The sequence below is a fragment of the Homo sapiens genome, chromosome 14 (genome assembly GCF_000001405.40).
Source record: "Homo sapiens chromosome 14, GRCh38.p14 Primary Assembly".
In the NCBI taxonomy this organism is placed as follows: domain Eukaryota; kingdom Metazoa; phylum Chordata; class Mammalia; order Primates; family Hominidae; genus Homo; species Homo sapiens.
Window position 1 is genome coordinate 32,041,478 of NC_000014.9, and position 26,029 is coordinate 32,067,506.

At 37.4% G+C, this 26,029-nt stretch overlaps 1 long non-coding RNA gene across 2 annotated transcripts; it reads left to right on the plus strand.

The window, feature by feature from the left end:
* The first annotated feature begins 1,128 nt into the window (after positions 1–1,128).
* Positions 1,129–15,903, plus strand: LOC105370440 (uncharacterized). 2 transcript variants are annotated; one of them, XR_943727.2, is made up of 4 exons: positions 1,129–2,552; positions 6,327–6,404; positions 8,400–8,805; positions 15,446–15,903. It is a non-coding gene; the product is annotated as an uncharacterized LOC105370440 (long non-coding RNA). The 2 variants fall into 2 exon arrangements; XR_001750712.1 differs by having other exon boundaries at positions 6,327–8,805.
* The last annotated feature ends 10,126 nt before the right edge of the window (positions 15,904–26,029 follow it).

The following is a 26,029-nucleotide window of genomic DNA, read 5'->3' on the forward strand; positions in this document are numbered from 1 at the left end:
CATTCTATGAGTTAGGCAAACACATATATGCTGTCATATAAGCACCAGCACAATCAAGATACAGAACAGTTCTATCACCCTTAAAACATTCCTTTTGCTGCCTTCGTAGTCAAGCCCTGCTCTTATTCCTACTTTCAGCCGCCTGGTGACCAACCAATCTATTTTCTGTTCCTAAAACTTTGCCTTTTCTGGGATGTCACATAAGTGGAATTATACAGGATGTAGCCCTTTGAGTCTGGCTTATTTCACTTAGCATAAGGCATTTGAGATCCATCCATATTATTGCACATATGAGTAGTTCATTTCTTTTTATCACTGAGTAATATTTCATTGTATACATGTTCCACAGCTTGTTTCCATTTGCCAGTTGAAGAACATTTGCATTGTCTCCGGTATTTAGCAATTATGAATAAAGCCACTACAACAATCAAGTAAAGGTTTTGTGTGGAAATAAGTTTTCATTTCTCTTGAGTAATAGGAATATGATTGCTGGATCATATGTTAAGTACATGTTTAATGTCAAACTGTTTTTCAGAGCAGCTTTACCATTTATATCCCACCAGCAAGTATAGAGTTTCAGTTGTTCCACACCCTGACCAGCACTCACTATGATCATTTTTTAAAAAGCAATTCTAATAGGTATGAAGGAATATAATATGGTAGTTTTAATTGCATTTCCCCTAATAACTAATATCATTGAACATCTTTAGATGTGTTCATTTATCTTCAGACAAAATTGTAGTATTTCCAATCTACATGCATTTATTTTTTTTCTTACCTTATTGAATTGGCTAGGACCTTCAGTATAATGTTGAACAGAAGTGGTGAGAGTCTTTATCTGGTTTCTGTTCTTGGGGGAAAAGCATTTAGTCTTTTACCATTCAATATGATGTTAGCTGTAGGGTTTTTTGTAAACACCCTTTATTAATCAATAAAGGTTAAGTAATTTCCCTTTGCTTTCTAGTTTGCTGAGAGTATTATGAATGGATGTAGAATTTTCTCAAATGCTTTTGTATGAATATTGAGATGATCATGTGATTTTTCTTCTTTAGTCTGTTGATATGGCAAATTATATTAATTAATTTTTCAGTGTTAAACCAGGCTTGCATTCCCAGGATAAATCCCACTTAGCCATGATATATTATCCTTCTATATGTTGCTGTATTTGACTTGTATATATGTGTATTTTTTCAAACCAAAAACAGAATGGTACTGTATATACTGATTTGTAATCTCTTTTTGAAAAAACATATTTTTTAATCTAAAAGAAATTCATAGTTGTAAGAAAAGTTCTTTCTGATTATGCCAGTAGATTTATTTCTTCCCTGTGCTTTCTTATAATAGGGGATTAGATAGTTGCTATGCATATTTTGGTTCAAGTTCATTAAATTCAAAAACTGGGATGAGAAATTTTCAACCCCCACACACCAACTCTTCTAATTAGCTGATAAACTCTGAAATAAATTATTTGTATCTTTGACAAAATGTGAAGAGGAAACTGCTCTGAGTTTTGAAGGTCATTATAAATGCTAAGAGGAAAGGGGTGAGCACCAATCTTCGAAATCCAGGCACTCACTCATCAGATGTCTGGTGAGTCCAAAATCTCTGTCTTATGATGATAACCTTAAGTAACAACCTTAAATATACATCAGATAGCTCTGATATTTGTAAAGAAAGTTTTCTTTCTTCCATTAAAAAATACTGTATAGGTAGATATAGATGTGTGTGTATACACAAACACTCACACACACACACACATACGGAGAGACAGCATTAACAGTCTTTTGAAAACTTTTATTTTGAAACATTTTTTGTTGTGAGGTGTTTCTTCCCTGGACAAGTACATCTTTTCTTTTCTTTTCTTTTTATATAGATATATGAGTTTTCCCTACTCCAGAAACACGCATTCAAGATTGATTCTCTCTAGGTACCCACTTAAGGCTTATTTTTAGAATTCCAGCAATCTAATTTTTTTTTTACCTCCAACTTTTATTTTGGAAAAGGCAATCTACTTATTCTTCACATCCTCATAAGGAAATGGACATTGCTTTATTTTATATGTGAGCCAGAGCTCGAGATAATGATAAATCTTGCCAGAGGCCTCAAGGATACTAAGCATGAACTCTGGGAAAAAAATTTGTGTTTGTTTTGTTTTTGGAGGGTGTCCCTCATTCCCAGCCTTGGGTTAAGATGATTCTGCTTTTCTCAAAATGTTTGAATGACAGGATGAACTTCAATGTTTGCATCATTTCCCCTGTTTTATACTCTCCTCGCATAGACCACAGCTGAGAGTTTTAGAGAAAAGGCGCTTTCGGCAAGTGCAAAGTGGTATTGTCATGTTGCTACTGGAGCTGTCTGTGACAGCCAAGAAAATAGGACAGAATCAAAAGGAAGTAAAATAAGTCATAGTGAAACCTTCTCCCTTAGAGGAAGGAAAGCAAACATTGAAATATTGCTTTTTTTCTTGGCTACTTATTAAAGGGGAGATTTGCCTGCTGTGCTGGAAGAGTCTTTTATTCATCGTTTTGTTGATGGGAGGTATCCAACTTGAGGTTTGTTTTTGTCTGTGTAATCCATTCTGTTTTTAAAGGTGAACTCTACTGAGATAAGTATTGAACAGATTCAGCATTTCTCTGATTAGAAAATATGTTGATTTGCTATAATCATTCAATAATTTAAACTGGACCCAATTTCCCAAAACAGTTCAATTTAAGTGTTTGCTGCAAATCAATTCACATTTCTGAAATATCTGAAGTCATTATTTATATGAGAGTCTTATTTTACTTCTAATATGGCTCAGTTTGTTTGCAACAAGATGCTATTTGGATCTTTTGTGGAACTTACATTGTTTGGTCACTTTCAGAAATGTTTAGGTTCAGGGTATTGTAAATTAATCAACAAATATAAAAACCTAGAGTTTATAGGTATAGAATTATAGTGCAACATTATCCAATTAAATACCCCACATCCTATTTTCATAAGTCCAAGGTCATTGGTCTAAATTACAATTATATGATTTCTGTTATGATTGTTAGTGATTGCTATAATTTGACTAATTATTGCCTAAACAATGAAAGTTGGCTGGGACCCAAATTGCAACAAATGCTTTTTTATGTGAGGAGAACAAGGAAACTAAATGCTTTTTTCTTTCGTCATTCATTCATAGGGGCTGCAATTAATCATAAATATTGCACGGGACCAGGGCATGGAGAGTAGAAAGCTTCCTTTATTTTCCAGAATTATCTTTCTTGAACGGTATGGAAGGCAACCCTCCAGAGAAAAATAAATGATCATGTTTAGAGAAACATCATTTTGACTAATTGGAAGGATAGTGGAAAAATCCCACAGGAAATGGTCCGGAGCCTGTGACTTTTATAGTCAATACTCTTCTTAGGTAGAGCAAACATTGTATTTAAATTGAAGGTACCATCTGCCCAACCTTCTAATCTGACCACAGGTTCAAGAAAAGTCATTGCCAGATAAGGAAATAATGTTTCATGAAATATAGGCTGAACTTGTGTCTAGACAATAAGAACGTGATTAAAAACAAGGATGCTATCTTTTGAAAAGGCACATGCGCTTTTAGGCAATTTAATATATTACATAATTTATAAAACGTTCTTAAGCTTTCCAGCCTTTTTCAGTCATTTCTTTGTCTGTTTGACCACAAGCTTTAAATGAATGGATCATAAGAGAAATTGGTCATTGTCACTTTTCAAAGCTTGAGATCTGTGTGATTGCAGATAACACAGAACCCCAAAATTCAGAATAGAAAGGCTGGGGAAGAAAATAGTGTGCACTGTTTAGCTGTGCCCCTAAGATGTTAGGAATTGCACAGGGTTCCTGGGATTCCTTAGCATCTCTACTCAGGCTGAGAAACACTGGTCCTTAAAGGTGAGGGGTGGACTGTAAGGGTCCCACTGCTGAAGGAGTGCTGCTGGGATATCCCAAGCTCCCTAGTCAGAGTTGGCAAGAAATTTCTTCTAGGCATCTCCAGGCAGTGAGATTTTCCCAGTCAGAGTCATATGAAAGAGAATTCTATTTGTCTTATGGCCAATTCCCCCACATTTTAGATAGAGAGTTGCCCTGTCTTCCCCACCCCTTCGCAAGGAGCTTTACAACTTGAAATGTGTTCACGGAGGCTGTAATTCCATGCCCCCAAATTTTGGAACCTCGGTGCTAGAGAAATATCTATCAAAAAGAGTAACAGATTGAATAGGACAAGTAAGGAATCCCAGGATTCCTTAGCTAATTTCACATTCCAAAATTAATAGTATGGCTTCTGAAGTACTGAATGAAATAAATTGCCTTTAGTAAAGCACAATGTAGCATAAACTAAAAATATAAGTTTCTTATTTAAATCTCATTTGAACATTTTATGATGCTTACCTTGGAGATTGTCTCATTACTTTGGCTACTAATGATGTGTAGGCAGAGATAAGCTAACTGTTGTAGAGCTGGATTTATGGAAACAGAAGAGGAATTTCCTTTCTATTCTTCACTTCTGGAAGGTAGTATGTCATACTTTTTAAACATATCAGATCTGGAACCCAGCTGCCTGGGTTAAATTCTGATTCTGGGCTGGGTGTGGTGGCTCATGCCTATAATCCCAGCACTTTGGGAGGCTAAGAAGGGAGGATCGCTTGAGCTCAGGAGTTCGAGACCAGCCTGGGTAACATAGGGACATCCCTGTCTCTACAAATAAATTAAAAATTAGCTGGGTGTGGTGGCAAGCACCTGTAGTCCCAGCTACTTGGGTGGCTGAGGCAGGAGGTTCACTTGAACCCAGAGAGTTGAGGCTGCAGTGAGCTAAGATCATGCCTCTGCATTTCAGCCTGGGTGGCAGAGCAGGACCTTGTCTCAAAAAAAAAAAAAAAAAAAAAGCTGATTCTGCTATTACCAGATGTGAATCCTTAGACAAGCTGCTTAACTTCTTTGAGCCTCAGTTTCCTTCTCTGTAAAACAGAATATATACTTATCCTTAGCTCAAAGGATTACCATTAGGATTAACCAAGATCATTCATGTCAAACATTTGATAAATTTTAGCTGCCATTGTAATTAATACATTTTATCTACTTTGATAGTCCTTCTTCCTTCTTCTGGCCTTTCAGACACCAGAGTTATTCAGAATTATGCTTCAGAATTACTTCGTCTACCAATTTACAAAATAGACACATTACCAACTGAGGCCTGTCTCTCTGTTTCCCTCAACATTGATAGGATATCCTTAGACCATAATTATACCCAAAATTGTTTAAGTGGGCCAGAGTCTCTAAGAAATTAGGTAATTAAATGCAAATTTTGCAGGCCAAGTTGCATTCCAATGATTTCTGAAAATCATAATTATAGAAGTCCTTGGTCCACAGGGGGCATACTCATCTAATTTGACTTGGTAAAGAGAGCTCTGCAGTTCCACCAGCCCCTTTCAGGCTCACAGAACTGTTTTCTCACTTTAGAAGATGCAGAAAAATGTGAAGGAGGAAGGTGCTTAAGCATCTACAGAGCCTGGTGCCTCGCTGGCCTTTGACGGCTTGTCAGTGGTTTGGTTCTGGTGTTTCATATTTTAGGTTGTGTGTGAATTAGAGGTTATTGGCTGAAATTTTTTTAAGTCAGAAATGCACCAGTTCCTTTGGATTTTTAAGGCATAGAATTCATGGATGTTATTAAAGATGAGTATACATATTTTAAAAATTGTTTTTCTTAGAATTTTTGACCTAAAACAGTAACATTTTCATTTTGACTTCTGAGCTTACCTTACAAGCAAATAGACTGTAGCAATATTATCCTCCTTAGCTGCAGCAGAAACATTTTATCTTTCTTGGACGCTGCAAAATCATAAACTGAAGAAGTCAAAGTCAATTTATGAACTCTCCAAGATCTTGCTAAAGAAATAGCTAGAAAATACATAGAAAAAGTATATTTATCCCTGTGATACATGCAAAATAATCTCAGTACACTTCCCTAAATGACTCTACTATGCTATACAGGCTATGTAAGATTATGAATGCATTGAGTTTACTTAATACATTGCTTTTGGGAATGTGGTATAATTGAAAGCTTTGGAGATAAAACTGGCATTGATTGAGTTGAGAAGTTCCTTTTTAAATAAGAGCTGTTAAATTATACTGCAAAATGTTGGAGGAAATATTATACACTATCTAAATGTGAAATTAATGTTTTTCTCAACATTGCTGTAAGTAGTGCATCTTAACTTAGTTCACAATTGAGTGAATTTTTTCTTTTGTTTCTAGTGATTCAGAATTCCTATGTAATAATACATTTTTTTATTGTCTCTTTCTGCAACCAAATTCTGCCGCCAAATTAGTGTGTTTGAAGAAGCAAATTAGTGGCTTCTGGGAAGGTATTAATAAGTCACAGAGCAAAGAGGAATATTTCAAGGGAGGTAAATATATATACAATTTTCTGACGGTACAACAAGTTCACTTTGTGGTTTTCCTCATTGATTTAGAACTATGTATTTTTTGCATCAGTGGCCTTCCTTCTCATTTATAACTTGTGACTTCATTTGTGTGACTCATTTCATTAAGTTTGTCTCCATGAACACTAACCACCCAATATGCCATACTGTGAGCATTTTTCTCTAAGATATAAATCAGCAATTCTTAACCTGTGCTTTTAACATCCAGTGGTATATTAATATAAATCAAGGGGTATCTTTAGTTTTTTAAAAACAAGCTCAAAATAGCTTTAAACTTCAAGATACTATTGAAAATTAGAACGAATTATTATGCAAAAACTTGATTTTTTTTGCCTTTTTAAATTTTTTTTATTTCATGCAGGATTTTGTTTTTTGTTTCTTAAGATGAACAAAAACTTGATTTTTAAGATTGGAAATACCATATACTTGAAACATTCTTAGTTACAGGTGCAACTACCCGATTGAGGAAATCCATTGCTAAGCAAACAACGGAATTGCCTTAATGATATAATTTAAGTTATATCTGCTTCCATCTTTGGATTCCCATTTCCTTCTCCCAAATGCATGATATTTGGAAGCACTTTGTTGATATTACAAATTTATAAATAAAGTAGACTTTGCTTCTTACATGTCACCATTGAGATGTTTAGGCTCTATAGATTGTTATTTAAAAATTTGGCTTACTTCAGCCAAATAAAATCATAGGTGTATGAAATGCTTAATTTTACATGTGAGGAAAAAAAGCCCACCAAATTCAAATAAATTATTTGAGTTTTCCCAACTTGTTAGCAACAGAGTTTTACCTAGAACCCTAGGCTTCTTTACGCCAGTGTTGTATTTTTTTCAGCTACACTAGACTATCAAATTGACAAAGCTTCATATACATTAGAATGAAGTGGTTGAGGCAAAGGAATGGTAAATTGAGAATTCACAATTTGGGGTAAGGTCAAAGTATGATCTGAGGATCGCCTTTGTTAATCACATGGATGCTTTCTGAAAATGTAGATTCCTAGACTCTTCCTAGGTTCCCAGACAGATTGAATCTCAATCTCCATGGGTGGGACCCAGGAATATGCCATTTAAACAAGTTCTCTAGATAACTTTTATGTACACTAAGGTTTACATTCCATAGGCCAATGATATCCTATATATTCCTCTAGAATGTTATTTAATATGTTTTAAACTGAGGTGTTAACATTTTCCCATTTGGGGAATTTGTACTGTTTTGCACTAGATTCTAAGGACTGGTACAGAGGAGACCTATGGTGAAAGTGAAGGGCATTGAATCTGGGTTCCATTCCAGGCTAACCTTGCTATGTGGGCCTGGGCAACTTACTTACTGAACACTCTAAGTCTTCAATTTTTCTTCTTCGAAATAACTATAATGCCACCCTTGCAGAACTGCTGAGAGATCATAGAAATAAAATACTGTGCAGGCACTGGGCCTGGCCTATTAAAAGCATGCAACTACTAATTACTGTCATTACCTAAGCTAACATAACTATTATTTTCCTCTTCCCTTACCTTGTAAAGTGGAAATACACTGAATTCCTCATTGTTTCAGACCTAGCAACTATTTGTGGATTATTCCTATCTTTCGCTCCTCCTCCTCACCTCTGTGGCTTCCTGCCTACCTCTTGGCCATTTCATTGTTCATTAGTCACCTCCACCAGAAGGAGGAAAGAGAAAATAAGAAATGCAACTCAAAACATCCATTTTCTTCATATGTTATTACTCTTAGTAAAAGATTTGATTTGAAGTGATGTGGCTGAATCACTGGCCAAAATAACATTTTTGTGTTTTCTAAGAGTTTAATTTACCTATTTTTTAGACAGTTTCCATTCCGGCTCTTATAATGAAATATCCTTGCTTAAAAACAGTGATTTTAATCAACACTGCATAAGAAAAGGATATACTAAATGAATCATTTTGAATCTTGTTTCCTTCCTCAATTTTTAGGGGAACTGAGAAGATTTGGTTGAATAAAGCTCATTAAGATCCTACAGAGATGGAATCTGAGTATGAAGTAGGTCAAATTCAGTCTCCCTGATAGTGCCCTTCAGGCATTGCCAACGTGGGCTTCTCGCTCAGCAGAGGTGGGTTGTGTGTGGATGGATTCCTAGACTGCAGCATGGGCTCTAACCTAATGAGAAGGTGCCTACACAGGGCCTGCAGCCAGAAGTCCTGATTTTCACGTAAAATGCCCTCAGTTCCTTCAAATCTTCAGATTTTTCCTCAGGTAAAGCTTTGTATCCTAGGTGCTTGGTATTAGGCATCTGCTTGTTGGAAAGTAAGAGAGCCACATCCGCAACTGCAAGAGTTGGGAGACTCCAGCGGCAGTAACAACCCAGGGGATCACACAAAGGTGAGCGTGACAAGAGGAGAATTTTTTTTCCCCTCTGGCACCCTGGTGTGGCAGGAGGGTACGGGTAGGGACTGGGGGCTGTCTAGAGGCCTGGTCTTTTCTCCTCCCCACTCTTCACCTGTTGCCAATCCTAGGTCCTGGAAGAATGCCTGACACGCATCCTCAGGTTGACTGACAATCTGATGTGTGGCATGACCAATGCAATAGAATAGCAGCTTCCTGAGGGCAGGTGTTTTTGGCTGCTTTATTCACTGCATTTGGAACTGGGTCTGTCCTGGAGTAGGTACCCAGTAAATATTTACTGAATAAATAGATGAAGTAAACATCAGGGTTAAAAGATACTCATTGAAAGAAAGGAAGAAGAGGGGACAAACTGAAAGAGGGAAATCAAATCATGGAATGATTATTGGCTTGATTGAGCCAATCTGATTATCTGAAGAAAATGCCCTTTTCAGATAAAAGAAGATACTTCTTTGGGCAAAGGCATATGAGATTCCTGCTATGGCTACACCCTCCAAACAAGGTGTTAGGGTCTACCCCGGTAGTATTAATGCTAGTCTATTTGAAAAGTAATGATAATGATAATGATGGTGAGTAATAAAAATAGCAACAGGAGCAACTAACAGTTACATGGCACTTACACCATGTGGATTATCTTCCCCAATCCATTTGTGAAACTTAATGAATGATAATAGAAGTGTAATGGCACTTTGCCACAGCAATGTGAAACTTGATATACTGTGGTATCAAGGGCATTCAGTCACAGGAATATGTTCTTGCAAACAGGTCTTAAGGGCAGTGGGCTAGTATGGTTTCCCTAAACAGACACTGTGTGTATGTGCACATGCAAATGCTTTTGTGTGTGTGTATATACATATGCAGATAAATGCACACAGCCTATTCAAAATCATTTTGGTAATAACTTTGATTCTGGGAGTTGGGTGCTAGGTAAAGCTAAGTGTAATTTTTGCTCCAATGCCACATCCTTTTATTCAAATCATAGTTTTCTTGGAAGTTTCCAAAACCGCTAATGCAAATGACATATTCATCTGTAGAAATTTCCCTTTTAGGAGGATGGCAATATGCCAACAAAGGTGAAATATAAAGCATATTTTTAAAAAGAGCTTTAACTAGTCCTGCATTTTATAGATCTGCTTTGTGACCCTTATTTTATCATGTCCATTTGCTGCTTTAGTACTTTGGCTCTTGAAGGCAATTTATTTAAATTCAGTGAAGGCAAACTGGAATGAATGGAACCATTAAATTGTAGTGTCCTTGAACATGTTCTCTGTGGAAAGGCCTTGGACTTTGGAGGAAGACAGACTTGGGTGGTTTAGATTTCACCTTAGCTAGTGATCACATATATGACCACAGATCACTTTCTTAACAATCAGATTTCTCCTCTTCAAAATAGAGAAATAAATAACTTCTTGGGGTTGTTGTGAGGATCAACTGAAATAATATATGTATAAATGCTTAGCATAATAACATGGCATGATAAGGTGTGAACATAAATAAAACTTCCCTTATTACCTAGTTTTATTTGCCCTCTCAGCATCTAGTTCTAGTCCCCAGAAGTAGAATCTCAGGTAGGCTATGGGTAAACTTGGTAGGCTAGCTGGCATTCTACATTGCTGTAACCATTATTTACACATGCGTGCACACTCACACACACACACAAATACACACACTTTAAAAAAATTAATTTAATTTAATTTTAAATTCCAGGATACATGTATGTGCAGGACATGCAGGTTTGTTACACAGGTAAACGTGTGCCATGGTGGTTTGCTGCACCTATCAACCCATCACCTACGTATTAAGCCCCGCATGCATTAGCTGTTTATTCTGATGCTCTCCCTCCCCCACTACACTGACAGGCCCCAGTGTGTGTTGTTCCTTTCACTATGTTCATGTGTTCTCATTGTTCAGCTCCCACTTAAAGCACACACACACACACACACACACACACACACACACACACACTTTTTATTCTACCTGCTTAGTTTTTTGCAGCCTAGAAGATAAAGACCAAGCTCCTTGTTGAAGCATGCAAATCTTCCACATCTGGCTTTTGGTGTATTGATTTCTTACAGATCCTGAACTGTTTCTTCAACCTTGCCATGCCCTTTTACACCTCTGTGCCTTAGCATATCTTTTTTTGACAGCCTGGAATGCTCTTCCACTCTTCTCCACCCAGTGAATTTCCTCTATTTCTTCTTTCAAGGTAGAGCTCAAATGTGGTCTCCTCTGTAAAGCATCTCTGGACTGCCTGGAAGCCAAGTCCCCTTTAGCCCTTTCGGGCTCCCACAGCTGTTTGTTTATATCACTATTACAGCAGCATCCTGTAGTAATTAAAATACAAACACACTTAGCAATGCCACTCTCTGGATGTGTGATCTTGGGCAAGTACCTAACCTCTGTTGGCTTTATTGTCCTCATTCGTAAGATGGAGACAATATTAGTATCCACCTGAACAGAGTTGTTTTATGTATTAAATAAAATAATCCATGTAAAGCACATAATACAGTGTCTATAACATGGTAACTGTGCTGACTGCTCAATGGTACCTCTACTATCATATAATAATCTCTTTGTAGGCCTATCTTTGTTAGACTCTGAGCTATTTCACTGTACACACAGTATCTAGCACAAAGCCCGGAACACAATAGGTGTTTAATATATGTTTGTTGTAAGGAAAGAAGGAAGCAGACAAAGTATCTTTCATGTATATTTAAAAAGAAGAGAAAATGTTAAACTATATTATAGTTAGGAGGAAGGTTCATTAACTGTCCTTTCTTTCACCTTTTAGTTAATACTCTTAGCTCTTCACTTTTACCAGCTATAAAATGCCAGCCCCGACTCCCAAAAAAGCTTATAAGATATAATATTCAAAAAATTACAGGGCCTTAAGACCTCTGGATACTTCTTGGCTGTAGAAACTATACCAATACTGCTCCCCAAAAAGGAAGAAAATTATCTCCCATTATAAGGATGCATATAAACTGTGAAATTAAAGAATGTTGGTAAAATGGAGATCAGATAAGCCATTTGTGTTAGTCTGTTTTGCATTGCTATAAAGGAATACCTGAGACGGCATAATTTATAAAGAAATGTTTATTTGGCTCATGGTTCTGCAGCCTGTACAGGAAGCATGGCACTAGCATCTGCTCAGCTTCTAGCGAGGCTTCAGGAAGCTTTTACTCATGATGAAAAGCAAGGAAGGCTAGCATGTCATACAGTGAGAAAGGGAGCAAGAGAGAGGGAAGAGGGAGGTCTCAGAATCTTTAACAATCAGATCTTACATTAACTAATAGAACAAGTACTCACTTATTACAGCAGTGAGAGCACTATGCCATTCAGGAGGGATCCTCCCCCATGACCGAAACACCTCCCACTCAGCCCCACCTCCAACACTGGGGATCACATTACAACATGAGATTTGGAGAGGACAAATACCCAAACTATATCATCATTCAATAGCATTTCTAGAGTCCTCTATTTTCCATATAGAGTATCAGTGCTTTTGTTCTCAGGAAAATTTAGTTACCCAATTATCAATACATTTCTATTCTGAATTAATTGTTGATAAAATGATACTATTGTCTTCTTATACTTGAAGTACAAAATAAAATGATTAAAACAAATACTGTATTTCCTTGTAATGAACTATAGCAGCCTCTTTCTGTCTGTCTAAAAGCGAGCTTTGACAACATGTTCTAGTTCAGGAGCAAGTGTTGACAAGCCAATTAATCCAGCCAAGTTTATAGTTTACCATCCTAATAGTACTGCCAATTATTTCTTAGATGCTTTGAAATTTTGTTCACATAATTTAATATTTTTGCAATTCAAGTTCCTCTTTTGCAAAAAGAAGGTAAAAATACTTATGTGAAGGTATGAAAGTTAAGTGTGAGGTTAAGTGAATAATGTACATAAAACATCTTAGGTTCAGAGCGACTGGTGCTATTAATAATAAAAAAAAAATCTAACATGGTGTGTGGCATGCCCGATTAATATTATTCTCTTTCTCATCAAGATTTTGTTTGTGACACCATGTTTTATTCAGATTCACCTGTTTACATATGTGGCTACCCCACTGCAATGTAAACTCATCCAAGGCAGGGATTATGTCACATTTATCTGCGGATTCCCAGTACCCAGCATACTACTTGCTGCATAATAGGTATTTAATACATATTTATGGAAAGCAGGAAGACAGGAAGAAAGGATAGGATGTGATATGGTTTGGCTGTGTCCCCACCCAAATCTCATCTTGAATTGTAACTCCCACAATTCCCATGTGTCATGGGAGGAACCGGGTGGGAGGTGATTGAACAATGCGGGCGGGTCTTTCCTGTGCTGTTCTCATGATAGTGAATGAGCCTTATGAGATGTGATGGTTTTAAAAACAGGAGTTTCCTTGGACATTCTCTCCCTCTGCCTGCTGCCATCCATGTAAGATGTGACTCGCTACTCCTTGCCTTCCACTATCGTTGTGAGGCCTCTGCAGCCATGTGGAACTGCAAATTCTCCATTAAACCTCTTTCTTTTTCTTCCTAGTCTCAGGTATGTTTTTACCAGCAGAGTGAAAACAGACTAATATGGGAGGGGAAAAAAAAGAAGAAAAGGGAGGAAATGAGGGAATTAAGTACTAGGTACAACTGAGTACAATGGAACAAAAATCCCTACATAAAATGTTATTATAGTTTAGTTATTTATGTATTATCATATTAATTCCATTAATTCTAAGAAATGACCAGCATTATACAGTATATAGTTGAATACTCCTTTACAATTATGAATGAAAAAAACTGTTATATGTCTCCTTTTGTTTTATGCAAGTATACATGAACAAGCATTACTGAATGAAAATTGCTTGTCAAAAATGTAACAAATGTGAGATGGGGCCATGATTTTGATGGTATGTGTCGTTCATGTCAGAAAAATAAGAGAAGTGTCACTAAGTTTCAGGGCTCTTACATGGCACTTAGAAAACTCTGCAGTATGCAATCTACTTCTTCTGTGACCTAGTCAAGGTGATTTATCACAGGTAAAATGCATGTGTTTTATGACTTTTCAGTGACATACTTGACACATAGTACAAAATGATGCAATCTGTATAGTATAAAGTTGCAATGCATACCAAATCAGAGATGTTATGCTTTTGGGTTACCTAATTCAATGTTTGAAAGTACCTTATCTGATAGCAAGAAAAGAACAAGAAGCTGCTACCAAGATAGTTTTCAACCTTTTCCAATAGACTTCTAGTACGCCTGCTCTAATGTATGCTATGGACCCTAACTTTCTTTATTTTAGGCTTTTTGTTACTGTTGTACTGTTTTGTTTTGTTATTATTATTATTTTTTTTAATAGAGACAGTGTCTCACAATGTTGTCCAGGCTGGTGTTGAACTCTTGGCCTCAAGCAATCCTCCCACCTTGGCCTCCCAAAGTGCTGGGGCCAGTTTGGTTTTTTTTTTTTTTTTTAACAGATTTTAAAGCAGAGCTCTGGTCTATACCCTGATGTGTCACTGAGTCTAAACTAGACTCTATTCATTCATTTCCATTTATCAGTTGGCTATTGATTTTTTTTTTTTTTTTTGAGACGGAGTCTTGCTCTGTCACCCAGGCTGGAGTGCAGTGGCACGATCTCAACTCACTGCAAACTCTGCCTCCCAAGTTGAAGCAATTCTCCTGCTTTAGCCTCCTGAGTAGCTGGGACTATAGGTGACAGGCGCCTGCCATCACACCCAGCTAATTTTTGTATTTTTATTAGAGACGGGGTTTCACCATGTTGGCCAGGCTGGTCTTGAATTCCTGACCTCAGGTGATCCAACTGCCTTGGCCTCCCAAAGTGCTGGGATTACAGGCGTGAGCCACCGCGCCCAGCCTGATTTTTTTTTGAGACAGGGTCTCACTCTGTCACCCAAGCTGGAGTGCAGTGGCACAATCACACCTCACTGTAGCCTCTACCTCCCAGGCTCAAGTACCTCTCTGTCTCAGTCTCCAGAGTAGCTGGGACTACAGACACAAGCCACCATATCCACTAATGTTGTTCTTTTCTCTTGATTAATAATTGATGCATACTGGTTTGGTATGTTTTGTTTTTTCTTCCTTTCTTTCTTTCTTTCTTTCTTTCTTTCTTTCTTTCTTTCTTTCTTTCTTTCTTTTCTTTCTTTCTTTCTTTCTTTTCTTTCTTTCTTTCTTTCTTTCTTTCTTTCTTTCTTTCTTTCTTTCTTTCTTTCTTTCTTTTTTTTGAGATAGGGTCTTGCTATGTTGCTGAGGCTGGAATGCAGTGGTGTAATCATGACTCCCAGACTTGGTTGGTTTTGTTTTATGTTTTTTAATTTTAAACAAGCTTTAATCATAAAAATTTAAACAGCATAAAAGCCTAAGTTACAAATTCTTCTTTGCCATCTCCTTACCCCTTTTCCTTGCACTCTATCCACTTTCCTCTGCAAGTGTGCATCTATCCAAACCTTTTCCCATATATTAAATTTATAGATATATGTACATATACATATACTTACTCATATAAATGGTTAAAGGACATACCAATTTTTTGAGTGCCACTTTGAACTGTCTATTGCAACACTTAATAATAATAGCCCTTTGTTTTGTTATTCTTCCCTGTTTAATAGGAGGTTGGAACTCTACCCTGGTTTGACTGATCCCTCAAATACATTCAGATGTCATCATAAAGAAGCTTTAGCTTCATAAAGAAGGAAGACAAAGGAAAAATTGTGCCACTTCTGTTAATTTAATCAGAAAGTTTTAATGATGTCTTATTACTTGGGTTTTTATCATAATGATTTGTTTTAATGCTGAGTTCAGTTTCAGTTTTATATTTGTTCTATCTTGTGCAACGTCCAAGGATAATTTAACTATTCAAATGAAGTAGTCCCTTAAAAAATTATCCCATGGCATGGATTTGAAGAGGCAGGCAAAAATGGAATAAAGTACTTTTCAGTAGATTAGACAATTGCAATCCAGTTCTATTGAAGCCCCACGACAGGATTGCTGCTAAATTTGATGTATATTTTCTGTTTTTTTGTTTGTTTGGTTGGCTGGTTGGTTTTTGTTTTTGAGACAGAGTCTTGCTTTGTTGCCCAGGCTGGAGTACGATGGCACAATCTCAGCTCACTGCAACCTCCACCTCCCAGGTTCAAGTGATCCTCCTGCCTCAGCCTCCTGAGTAACTGGTATTACCAGCTCATGTCATCATGCCAGGCTAGTCTTTTGTATTTTATTAGAGACGAGCTGGTCTCGAACTCCCAAGATTAGGCAATCCACCTGCCTTGGCCTCCCGAAGTGCTGGGATTACAGGTGTGAGCCACCTTGCCCATCTTGGGGTTTAAAAAAAAATGCTTCCATGATTTCACTTCTAATGGATAAAGAGAGACATCTAAGAAGTCTGACGTTTAAAGTGTTGAAAAAATGAGACATTCAGGCTACAACTGTAGTGGTCATGTTTTGAATTGTGTTTTTAAATGGGCATGGAGTTTTCTAAGAATGGGGATATATTGCAACCTCTCACATGGAAAGTTATAAATAATGTTCAAAGGGGATTGAGGAACCAGGGCCATAGAGTTTTGGAAAAATATTGGAAGATGACTTAACTGTCGGCCATTTGACCATGCTTCCTGGACTTCCTCCTGTATTATCCCTGCACCCTCTCCTACCTAACCTGTCTGCTATAGTCACAAATGCAAGTTAATCTTCTTTATCACTTTTATTGTTAGGCCTGTTCTACAGCTTCAAAAATCAGAAAATTTTAAAGTGGAAAACGGGTCTTTGGAGACTACCGACTCCTTTCCCTGGCCTGAAGCAATAAAACTATGAGCTGAAGTTCAGTGCAGTCACAGTTCAGCTTTCCAAATGCTTCCTACTAAGTTTATTTCTTTTAACTTTTTTTTCATTAAAAAGGATGGATAATAAGAACAGAATGAAATTAAATCAAAACTAAAAATTGCCCCCTCTCTATACCCTCTAGACAAGTGCCTGTCCCTTGGCTCTTCCCTACTCTGTTCACTGTGATGGCTCTCTCTCCTCCTTCAGACTCTGGCTAGTCTTCATCTCCTCAGGGAGGCCTTCCTCAGTGCATCTTCACACCCAGTGAAAAGTGTTCTAGCGTGATTAACACTATAGTTTGATGTTCTTCTGTTTGCCTCTCACATTAAACAACGAGGGTAGGGGATTTGTCTCTATCTTAATATCTTCAGCACCAAGCACAATATCCAACACTCAGTAAATATTGGTTAAATGAAAGGATGAATGAACAATTGATTGAGTAAACTAATTGGACAAACAGTTCTTTCTCAGATGTCATACGTGTGTTTCAACCTAGAGGAAGAAGGATGGTTTAGAGGTCCCTGTCTGAATCCATATTAAAGCTATAGTCATTTTATTTATACCTTTTTAAGACTTTGTGTAGAGGGAAATAACCATTACTTTGGAAAATGACTTCTGCATGATCTAGTGATTGCTGATGGGCCAAAAGGCATCATGACAGCAATTGTCCGTCCATCATTTGGTAATTTGTCGGATTCCCCCTCAGCCCATAGAGGTGATTCCAGAGGCTTATTGCAGGGTCCTCTGATTAATTGGACTGGGCCAAACTGATGTATAAAAATTTTCTGGGGCACCTGTACCAAGAAGCATTTCAAAATTTGTGTGTGATTGCGTTTAGGTTTGATTGCCCTTTTTATTTGTTAGGATGATTATAAGAATGATAAGTTCTGTATCAGAACTAAATATGTTGTGAAAACTGCTAAACAGTGACATTTGGAAAACATGGTTAAGTGTGTGTACTTTTGTAAAAGTGATTAAAGTAAAACAGGATTAGCAAAAATTTGGGGTTCAAGATTAGCATAGAAATTAATTTCTGAACAAGCAAGTTGTCTTGTTTCATTTAATTGCTTCCTGTGTGATTATATAAAGCTGAAGTTAATTTCTGATCTTTCTTTTAGTCTTTAAAACTATAGTAGTGTTTCTCAACTAAAGAATTGAGAAGTTGTATTTGTGTCTATGTCTAGAATCCTGTTTGGCTCCTCTTCATCGTGCAGTGGCCAATCAACGCCTATTTATACCCTTGTGAGTTTCTAATGAGTTGCTTCTGACCCTAATCATGTCATGCAGCGCTTTCCAGTTTGTATCTCAACCATTCCCTACTCAGTATATTTTTGAAGAAAATCCTCCTCTGCTGATTCCACCAAGCAATCCTGGGAAAGCTTCTCGAAGAGACTGCTCAGCAGCCTTAAATCTGCAAGTGCTTAATCAGTATGCAAAGCTTGCTCCTCTGGTTTGAAGAGTCAAGTTTCCATAAATGCATCTATCTCCACACAGCAGGGTGACTGTGAAGGGGGCTGACCCCTTATAGGGCCTACAATGTGGTCCAGTCTTTCTACTTCATTCAGAAATGAGACAAGGTAAAAAGAAGGGCAGGCTGAGGTGACAGATGTCTCAATGCCATACTCCCTGGCTTTGTGGAATTGTTCTAGGTTTAAGTTCCTCATTTCTTAGGCTCTATTTTTCTCCTTGCCATGGCCAGCTAAATCCCTGGACCTTTGTCATGCTTATCTTAGCTTGACATGACTTCTTAGCTTCGTAATGCAATGTTTTATACCTGGGTGAAATATAAACACACTAAGCTCTTGTTAAACTGGTACTGGTTTATTCTGGACAGTAGTTCCATTGCTCCAAATTGAAAGCTACTCTTCTTCCTGGAACAGTGAGTGCTCAGGTGCTTTTAAAACGCTGTCTATCCCAAATTTCTGAGTAGAAATCCCTTCATTTCTAGACTCCCAGTATTTTAAGACAAACATGTTTTCCTGTAATTAGGTTTTACAATGATACAGTAAATTTATTCCTGTGGCTACCTGAATATCCACTGAGAGTACAAAATGATCAAGAAAAAGAAGAAATCTGTGCATGGCATTTAGATATTAAATATGTGTGTTTGTGTATAAAGTCATGCTGGTTTTGTATATAAACACACTTTAGGAGAAACATGGTCAAAAGGATAAAGTAAATGCTAATGATAACTCTGGAATCATATTACTGAAGGAAAGTGAACATATCAAATAGCTCTATAAACATTAGAATTAAATGTGACTTGATATTTTTAAATTAAAAAGTATAATAATTTGTTGAAATTTACTGAGAAAGCACTTATTAGAATTTTAGGAACTCATTTACTCCCAAAATTTTCTTGCAGATGCTATTTACATAAGTAATAATAATATTAAACAATATTTTAAGGTATAGTTCAACCTCAATGTTTAAAAAGCATAGACAAACCTTGATACAGCAATTATAATATTTTAATCAATTATAATCAAATAGCACAAACTAGGAAAATGCTGTGTTAATAGTAATCAGTAATTATGAAAGTGTTAATTTTAGAGAAGAAAATCACCAATTATTATTTCAATAATTTATTACTAAGAAGAGAGCATAAACAGATTATTTTAGCATTCTTTGCAGAAATTACTTCCTAATGAGAGCACTGTTATGATTTCTGTCACTGACTTCCTGTGTAATCTTTTGGACAGACTTCAATGTTTCCATATAAAATATAATGATAAAAATGTTGAAACCTAATTTTAAGATGTACTGACTGCTATGGTCTGATGTTTGTGTCCCCTCAAAATTCATATGTAGAATTAAGTAGTGGGTCCTTTTGGAGGTGACTAGTTCATGAGGGTGGAATCCTCATGAATGGGATTAATCCCCTTATAAAAGAGGCCCAAGAGAGCTTGTTTGCCCCTTCTGCCATGTAAGGACACAGTGAGAAGGTGCCATCAATGAGGAATGAGCTCTTATCAGACACCAAATCTGCTGGCATCCTGATCTTGGACTCCCCAGCCTCTAGAATTGTCAAAAATAATCTGTTAATAATTATCCAGTCAGTGGTATTTTTGTTATATTAGCCCAAATAGACTAAGACGTTGCCTAAATGAAATATAAAAGATAAAACATTGTTTAGGAATAGTCATGCTTGGCCAGGCAAGGTGGCTCACTTTCAGAGGCCAAAGCAGGCAGATCACTTGAGGTCAGGAGTTCAAGACAAGCCTGGCCAACATGGTGAAACCCCATCTCAACTAAAAATACAAAAATTAGCTAGGCATGGTGGTGCACACCTGTCATCCCACCTACTCGGGAGGCTGAGGCAGGAGAATCTCCTGAACACTGGAGGCAGAGGTTGCAGTGACACGAGATAGTGCCACTGCACTCCAGCCTGGGTGACAGAGCAGACTCCATCTCAAAAAAACAAAATAGAACAAAACAGCAACAAAAAAGAATAGTCATGGTTAATATTTATAATGGGTTCACTAAACATAAATGTATAGGAATATTGATAGATTTTTAATAAGAACAATTTCCCTAGCATGAAAATCATTAATATTGCCACATATTGACATTTACATCCACTTATGACATTTAAATTCACTGCTTGTGGTTGCTAAATAAAGGGCTTGATATAATCAAAGAAATTTTAGAGCTCAAAGGATTCTGAAAGAGCAGCTAGTCCATTCAACCTCCTTATTTTATGGATGAGAAAATTAAGATTCAGAGAGAAGATACGTTCATATGTGTTCAGGGAGTTACTGCAGATCCAGGTCTCCTCAGCTCCGGGTGTTATTTTGAACCTGTTAATCCAGATCCCTGAGACTTTTGCTAGGAATCCTTATATATGCATACCAAGCGTTGTCTGGAGACCTCACATACAGTGTCCCACAGGCACTATTTTTCAAATGTACCTAAATGCCACTAGAATGAACAAAATCTGCTCATTTTAAAATGATAAGAAATTTGTGGAGTTTTTTTTGTCATTTTGTATTTGTCCCACATTTTGTCAAAACACGAAATACCACATGGAAACTACTGACATTTCTGGAAGTGAATATGAAAAGTTTGGTAGGCATGGCACAGCATCCCTTCTCCTGCCTATTTATTAAACTTTGGATGATTCAAAATGTCACAAATATGTTGTTATCTGAGCAGGTGTAGGTTTTTTTAAAAAGTTACAAATATGGAACGGGATGATGACTTAATCCCTCATTTATTATTATTATTTATCATTATTATTATTAACTATGGGAATAGAGGACCTGTAGTACTGTTGCAAAGATTAGTCTGAGACCAAGAACTCAGACAAATAACCCAATGAAATGTTATAATATGACAAGTACTTTGATATCGGTATGTACAATGTGCCACTAGAGCACTATTTCCCACGAGCTCATACCAAGTGAAATGTAATCTCCTTGTTTTATAGGCATGTTAAGATACATTGAACATTTGGTTTTAATGGCATTTTTCACTTAAGTATCTATCATAGGAACATATACCGTCTTTTATCCTGACTTACCAGCAGCACACCTGACTTTCTCTGATTTTTTTAAACACCTCTAGAGAAGCCTACAAAATGCTATGGAGTCTAATTTTTATACTTAGCACTGTCAGGACATTCTTTTTTTCTTTTTAACTTTATGGGAGTGTAAGCTCATTTTCTTTTGTTCATCACAGCATCCTTTATATGCTCAAAAATAGTCTTCTTTTTCTCAAGCAAAAGAATTCAAGTCACTCCAGTTCTTACAGAGCATACTTCCCATAATTTAGTGTACTCAGAAGTATTTGTATTAAATTGTCTTCAAGTCTGGGTGCGATGGCTCACACCTGTAATCTCAGCACTTGGGAGACCGAGGGTCAAGGATCACTTGAACTCAGGAGTTCAAGGCCAGCCTCAACAACATAGTGAGACCCTCATCTCTACAAAAAAATTAAAAATTAGTTGTGGTGGTATGCACCTGTGGTCCCAACTATTTGGGAGGCTGACATGGGAGAACCACTTGAGCCCAGGAGGTCCAGACTGCAGTGAGCTATAATTGTGCCACTGCACTCCAGACTGGGCAACAGAGCAAGACTCTGTCTCAAAAATAATAAAAATAAATTGTGTTCAGTGAAGAGACAGTGAGCAGCAGCATATCACCATAATAAAACATCCTGCCACGAGCCTGCACAAAGACAGAATTGGAAAAAACATGCCAAGGCTTTTTCCCAGATGAAACGAGGACCAGAATAAAACACTTATTACCATTCAGCAAACCAACTGGACAGTCACAATCAGAATGTTCTCAGTGTCTCCTCTGCTATTATATTCTGTGGGTTCTATGCTCGCCTTGATGTATATGCCTCATAACCATTAATTTTCCTGAGTTTAACTAGCACATCAGAAGAGACTGGCTCCCGTATGGGGAGCTGCCATTAGCGGAATTTCTCAGGAAACAAGATGCCGCAGGAGTAATGTTACATTGAAATATAGCCAGAGTTTTCTTTTTTCTTAATTAAAAAAAATTTTTTTAAGTGACAAGGTCTCACTCTATTGCCCAGGCTGAAGCTCAGTGGTGTAATCATAGCTCACTGCAGCCTTGAAACATGTGGGGTCAAGAGATCCTCCTACCTCAGCCTCCTGAGTAGCTGGGGCTACAGGCATACACCACAGTACCCAGATAATTTTATTTATTTATTTTATAGAGATGAGGGGGTCTCACTTTGTTGCCCAGGTTGGTCTCAAACTCCTGGCCTCAAGCGATCCTCCCACTTTGGTCTCCCAAAGTGCCAGAATTATAGGTATGACCCACCACACCAAGCCAAGGTCTTATTTAAGGCTTTCTCTCCATAGCAGAATCTGTCCCTCAGTTTCTCTTTGCGTTGATTGAGACAGAGTCTCAGTCACCCAGGTGGGAATGCAGTGGCACTATCATGGCTCACTGCAGCCTCGACCTCCCTGGGCTCAGGTGATTCTCCTGCTTTAGCCTCCCAAGTAGCTAGGACTACAGGTGTGCACCACCACACCTGACTAATTTTTGAATTTTTTGTACAGACAGGGTTTCACCATGTTGCCCAGGCTGGTCTTGAACTCCTGCGGTCAAGAGATTCTCCCACCTAGGCCTCCCAAAGTGCTGGAATTATAGGTGTGAGCCACTGCACCTGGCCTCTCCTTGCATTTAAAATGTTTAGAGTGCCGATAAATTTTTGCACTTAAAAGAAAAACAGGCTGGGTGCGGTGGCTCACACCTGTAATCCCAGCACTTTGGGAGGCCGAGATGGGCAGATCACCTGAGGTCAGGAGTTTGAGACCAGCCTGGCCAACATGGTGAAGCCCCGTCTCTACTAAAAATACATAAATTAGCTGGGTGTGGTGGTGTGCGCCTGTAATCCCAGCTACTCGGGAGGCTGAGGCAGGAAAATCGCTTGAACCTGGGAGGTGGAGGTTGCAGTGAGCTGAGATCACATCACTGCACTCCAGCCTGGGCAACAGAGTGAGACTCTGTCACACACACACACACACACACACACACACACACACACACACACACAGAAAAGGAAAGAAAAACAGATTTTGTAGGCTAAAAATTGGGGAACATAGAAAAAGAGTTTTTCTTTAAACTGAGAAATAGCACATACTACTAAAGAATTATGAATATTACTTGTATTAAATCAACCAATACATGTACAAGTGTTGATATTTTTAATTCTGGAATTTCCTAAAGTCATTTAAAAGGGTTGATGTTTTAAGTGTTTGACTATATTATGATTTTTATTTTTATACTACTATTACCACTGATTCTGCTGCTACTACTGTACTGTTAATACCACTAGGAGGACTTGTGGACGAATTCTGTGTTTTGCTTGTCTTAAAACACCTCCCTTCATAACTTTTCTTGGAATGTCCTGCTAAAAATTTAGTTACATTGAAAGAAATGGAAACAGTATATGAAGGAGGGATGGTTGTTAGGAAATGGAATTTGTGGAATACTCTTATTTTGGATGAGTTGCAGACTTTCAAATTCCACAGAAACCCAAATAAAAACAGTTATATGCCAGTTAAAACAATATTTCGCTCAGTCTCAGAATGGCCTGTATGTCATTTGGTGGCATGGCGCTAACCTTAACGACTGCAAAAAACAAAACCATGAGTCTACAAATCTGACAGTAGAAAAGAAAAACAACAGAGTTGATTCAAAGTGCTTCTAACATTCAGAATGTGAGTTTTGAAAACACACTAATCACATAAGTAATTTGAGCAAGTTAGTTGGTCAATTTGATAAAGTATTATTTTCTGTTCAAATTTGTCACTCTCCAAGACTCTATTATCTATCTATCTATCTATCTATCTATCTATCTATCTATCTATCACCTCTTTTTATTATGCTTGTCATGTTTAAAATGAGAAATTGTAAATGATGAAGCTATTATACTGTAACAGAAATGTAATCTATGGGCCAATTTCTCAGTTAAGATCCAATCCTAGAACATGAAAATGAGCTTGTTGTAGGCAGGCATCGTGCCTTTCATCTTTATGTATCTGGCTGGAGCATTGTCTTTGGCACAGAGTGGGTGCAAATTGATGGTTGTTGAATGAGAGAATGTCTCAAAGTAGTACTCTAAAGAGAAAGTCTACGTAGGATTCCTAACTCGTGTTTTTATTCTACCAATCATTGTAATTTTGAGGAATATTTTAAATGAGAAGACATGATTAACATGTGCAGCATTAAAAAACACCTTCTTTTTTAAATTCTAAAAAAGTATAAAGATGTATAAGAACATATATATATAAGAAGGTAAAATGAATATATAAGACAATATATAAGGTGAATATATTTTAAAGAAAATTACCCAGAGATAGCCACTGTTAATATTTTGATATATTTCTTTCCAGGCTATTTAATTTTTTTTTTTTTTTGAGACAGGGTCTCACTCCCATAACCCAGGCTGGAATGCAGCGGCGTGATCTCAGCTCACTGTAGCCTCAACCTCCTGGCTCAAGTGATCCTCTTACCTCAGCCTCCTGAGTAGCTGGGAGTACAGGCATGCACCACCACTCCCGACTAATTTTTATATTTTTTTGTAGAGATGGGGTTTTGCCATGTTGCCCAGGCCATACTTGTTTTTAATATTTGTATAAATTTGGGACCATATGGAATTTCCAGAATATATAAAACCACATGTAGATCTCATATATAAAATAACGCAGAATAAACTAAAATGAATCACCCTGTTACCAGCTTATACTTAACACATACCACTTTAAAACAAGAGCTCTCAACAAAATTAAAGTAAAAACTAAAACTAAGATCTGGATCAGTGTAATAGGACTAAGGGGACTGAGGAGTGTTCCTGGAGCTCTAGATTGTCAGTATTCCCAAAGCGTTGCTACTTTGTAGCAAGACTCCACTTTCAAATGAGGACGTTTCCTCTTAGTAACTTACGGAGTACTTATTCTCTGAGTTTTAGGAGAGTTTGATAGACAAGAGTTTTCAGTAAGTTGCAGGTGTACATAATGGCAGCCGATCAAAAAATACCTTTGCAAATATCTGTTGTGATGATTTAGCTAAAAATCTGAATGGTGGATTGCAACAGTTGATTACACTGAGTTAACTGATGAGGTGACTAGTGGAGAAGTGGGGTAGGGTGAGGAGTTTTACCCTCAGGTAAATTCAAAGAATTGTCAGCAGCCTGTTCCATTACAAAGCAAACATACAGAATACTGTCAAAACCAGAGCTCTTTTATTAGAATTAGGATGACGCTTGGGATGCTAACCACAATAATATGAACCTGTGGGCCACACTGCAGATGTACACACAGTAAATCAGAACTGAGTATCCAAACTGCAGTAACCTCTTTTCTTTCTAATTCCTAAACCACTGTGGCACATGATTTCTTTGGGGCCAAGAAGTTGCCTCACACCACAAAATATTAAAAGGCATGGCATTATTTTGAGGTATCAAATGAAAAGATCACTTTGAACTACTACTAAATTTGTATTCTGTTGGCTTAAAAGAGTTAACTCACTTTCAGAGACATTTACTAACTGAAAATGAATTAGGCACCAAGGAAAAGAAGGTTAATAGTAGTCACTCAGTTTTGATTGATATGCCTAAAAAGTCCCGCTCAAGGCTCATGTTATTGAGATGGAGAATCCACTTGTAAGTGGATCAGGTAGCGTATTGCTCACTGTTTAATAGTTCTTCACCTAGATTTTCTGATAGAATGAATGCACGGCTTCTACAACAAAATCAAATAGGATAACTGGCATGAAGCTATCCTGTTTGAGGAAGGAAGAATAAGGGAAGGTCTAAACAACCACATGTTACCAGTGAAATAGAATGACTGTAAGAATGCCCTCAAAGAGAGTATTTTACTCAATGACATTTTA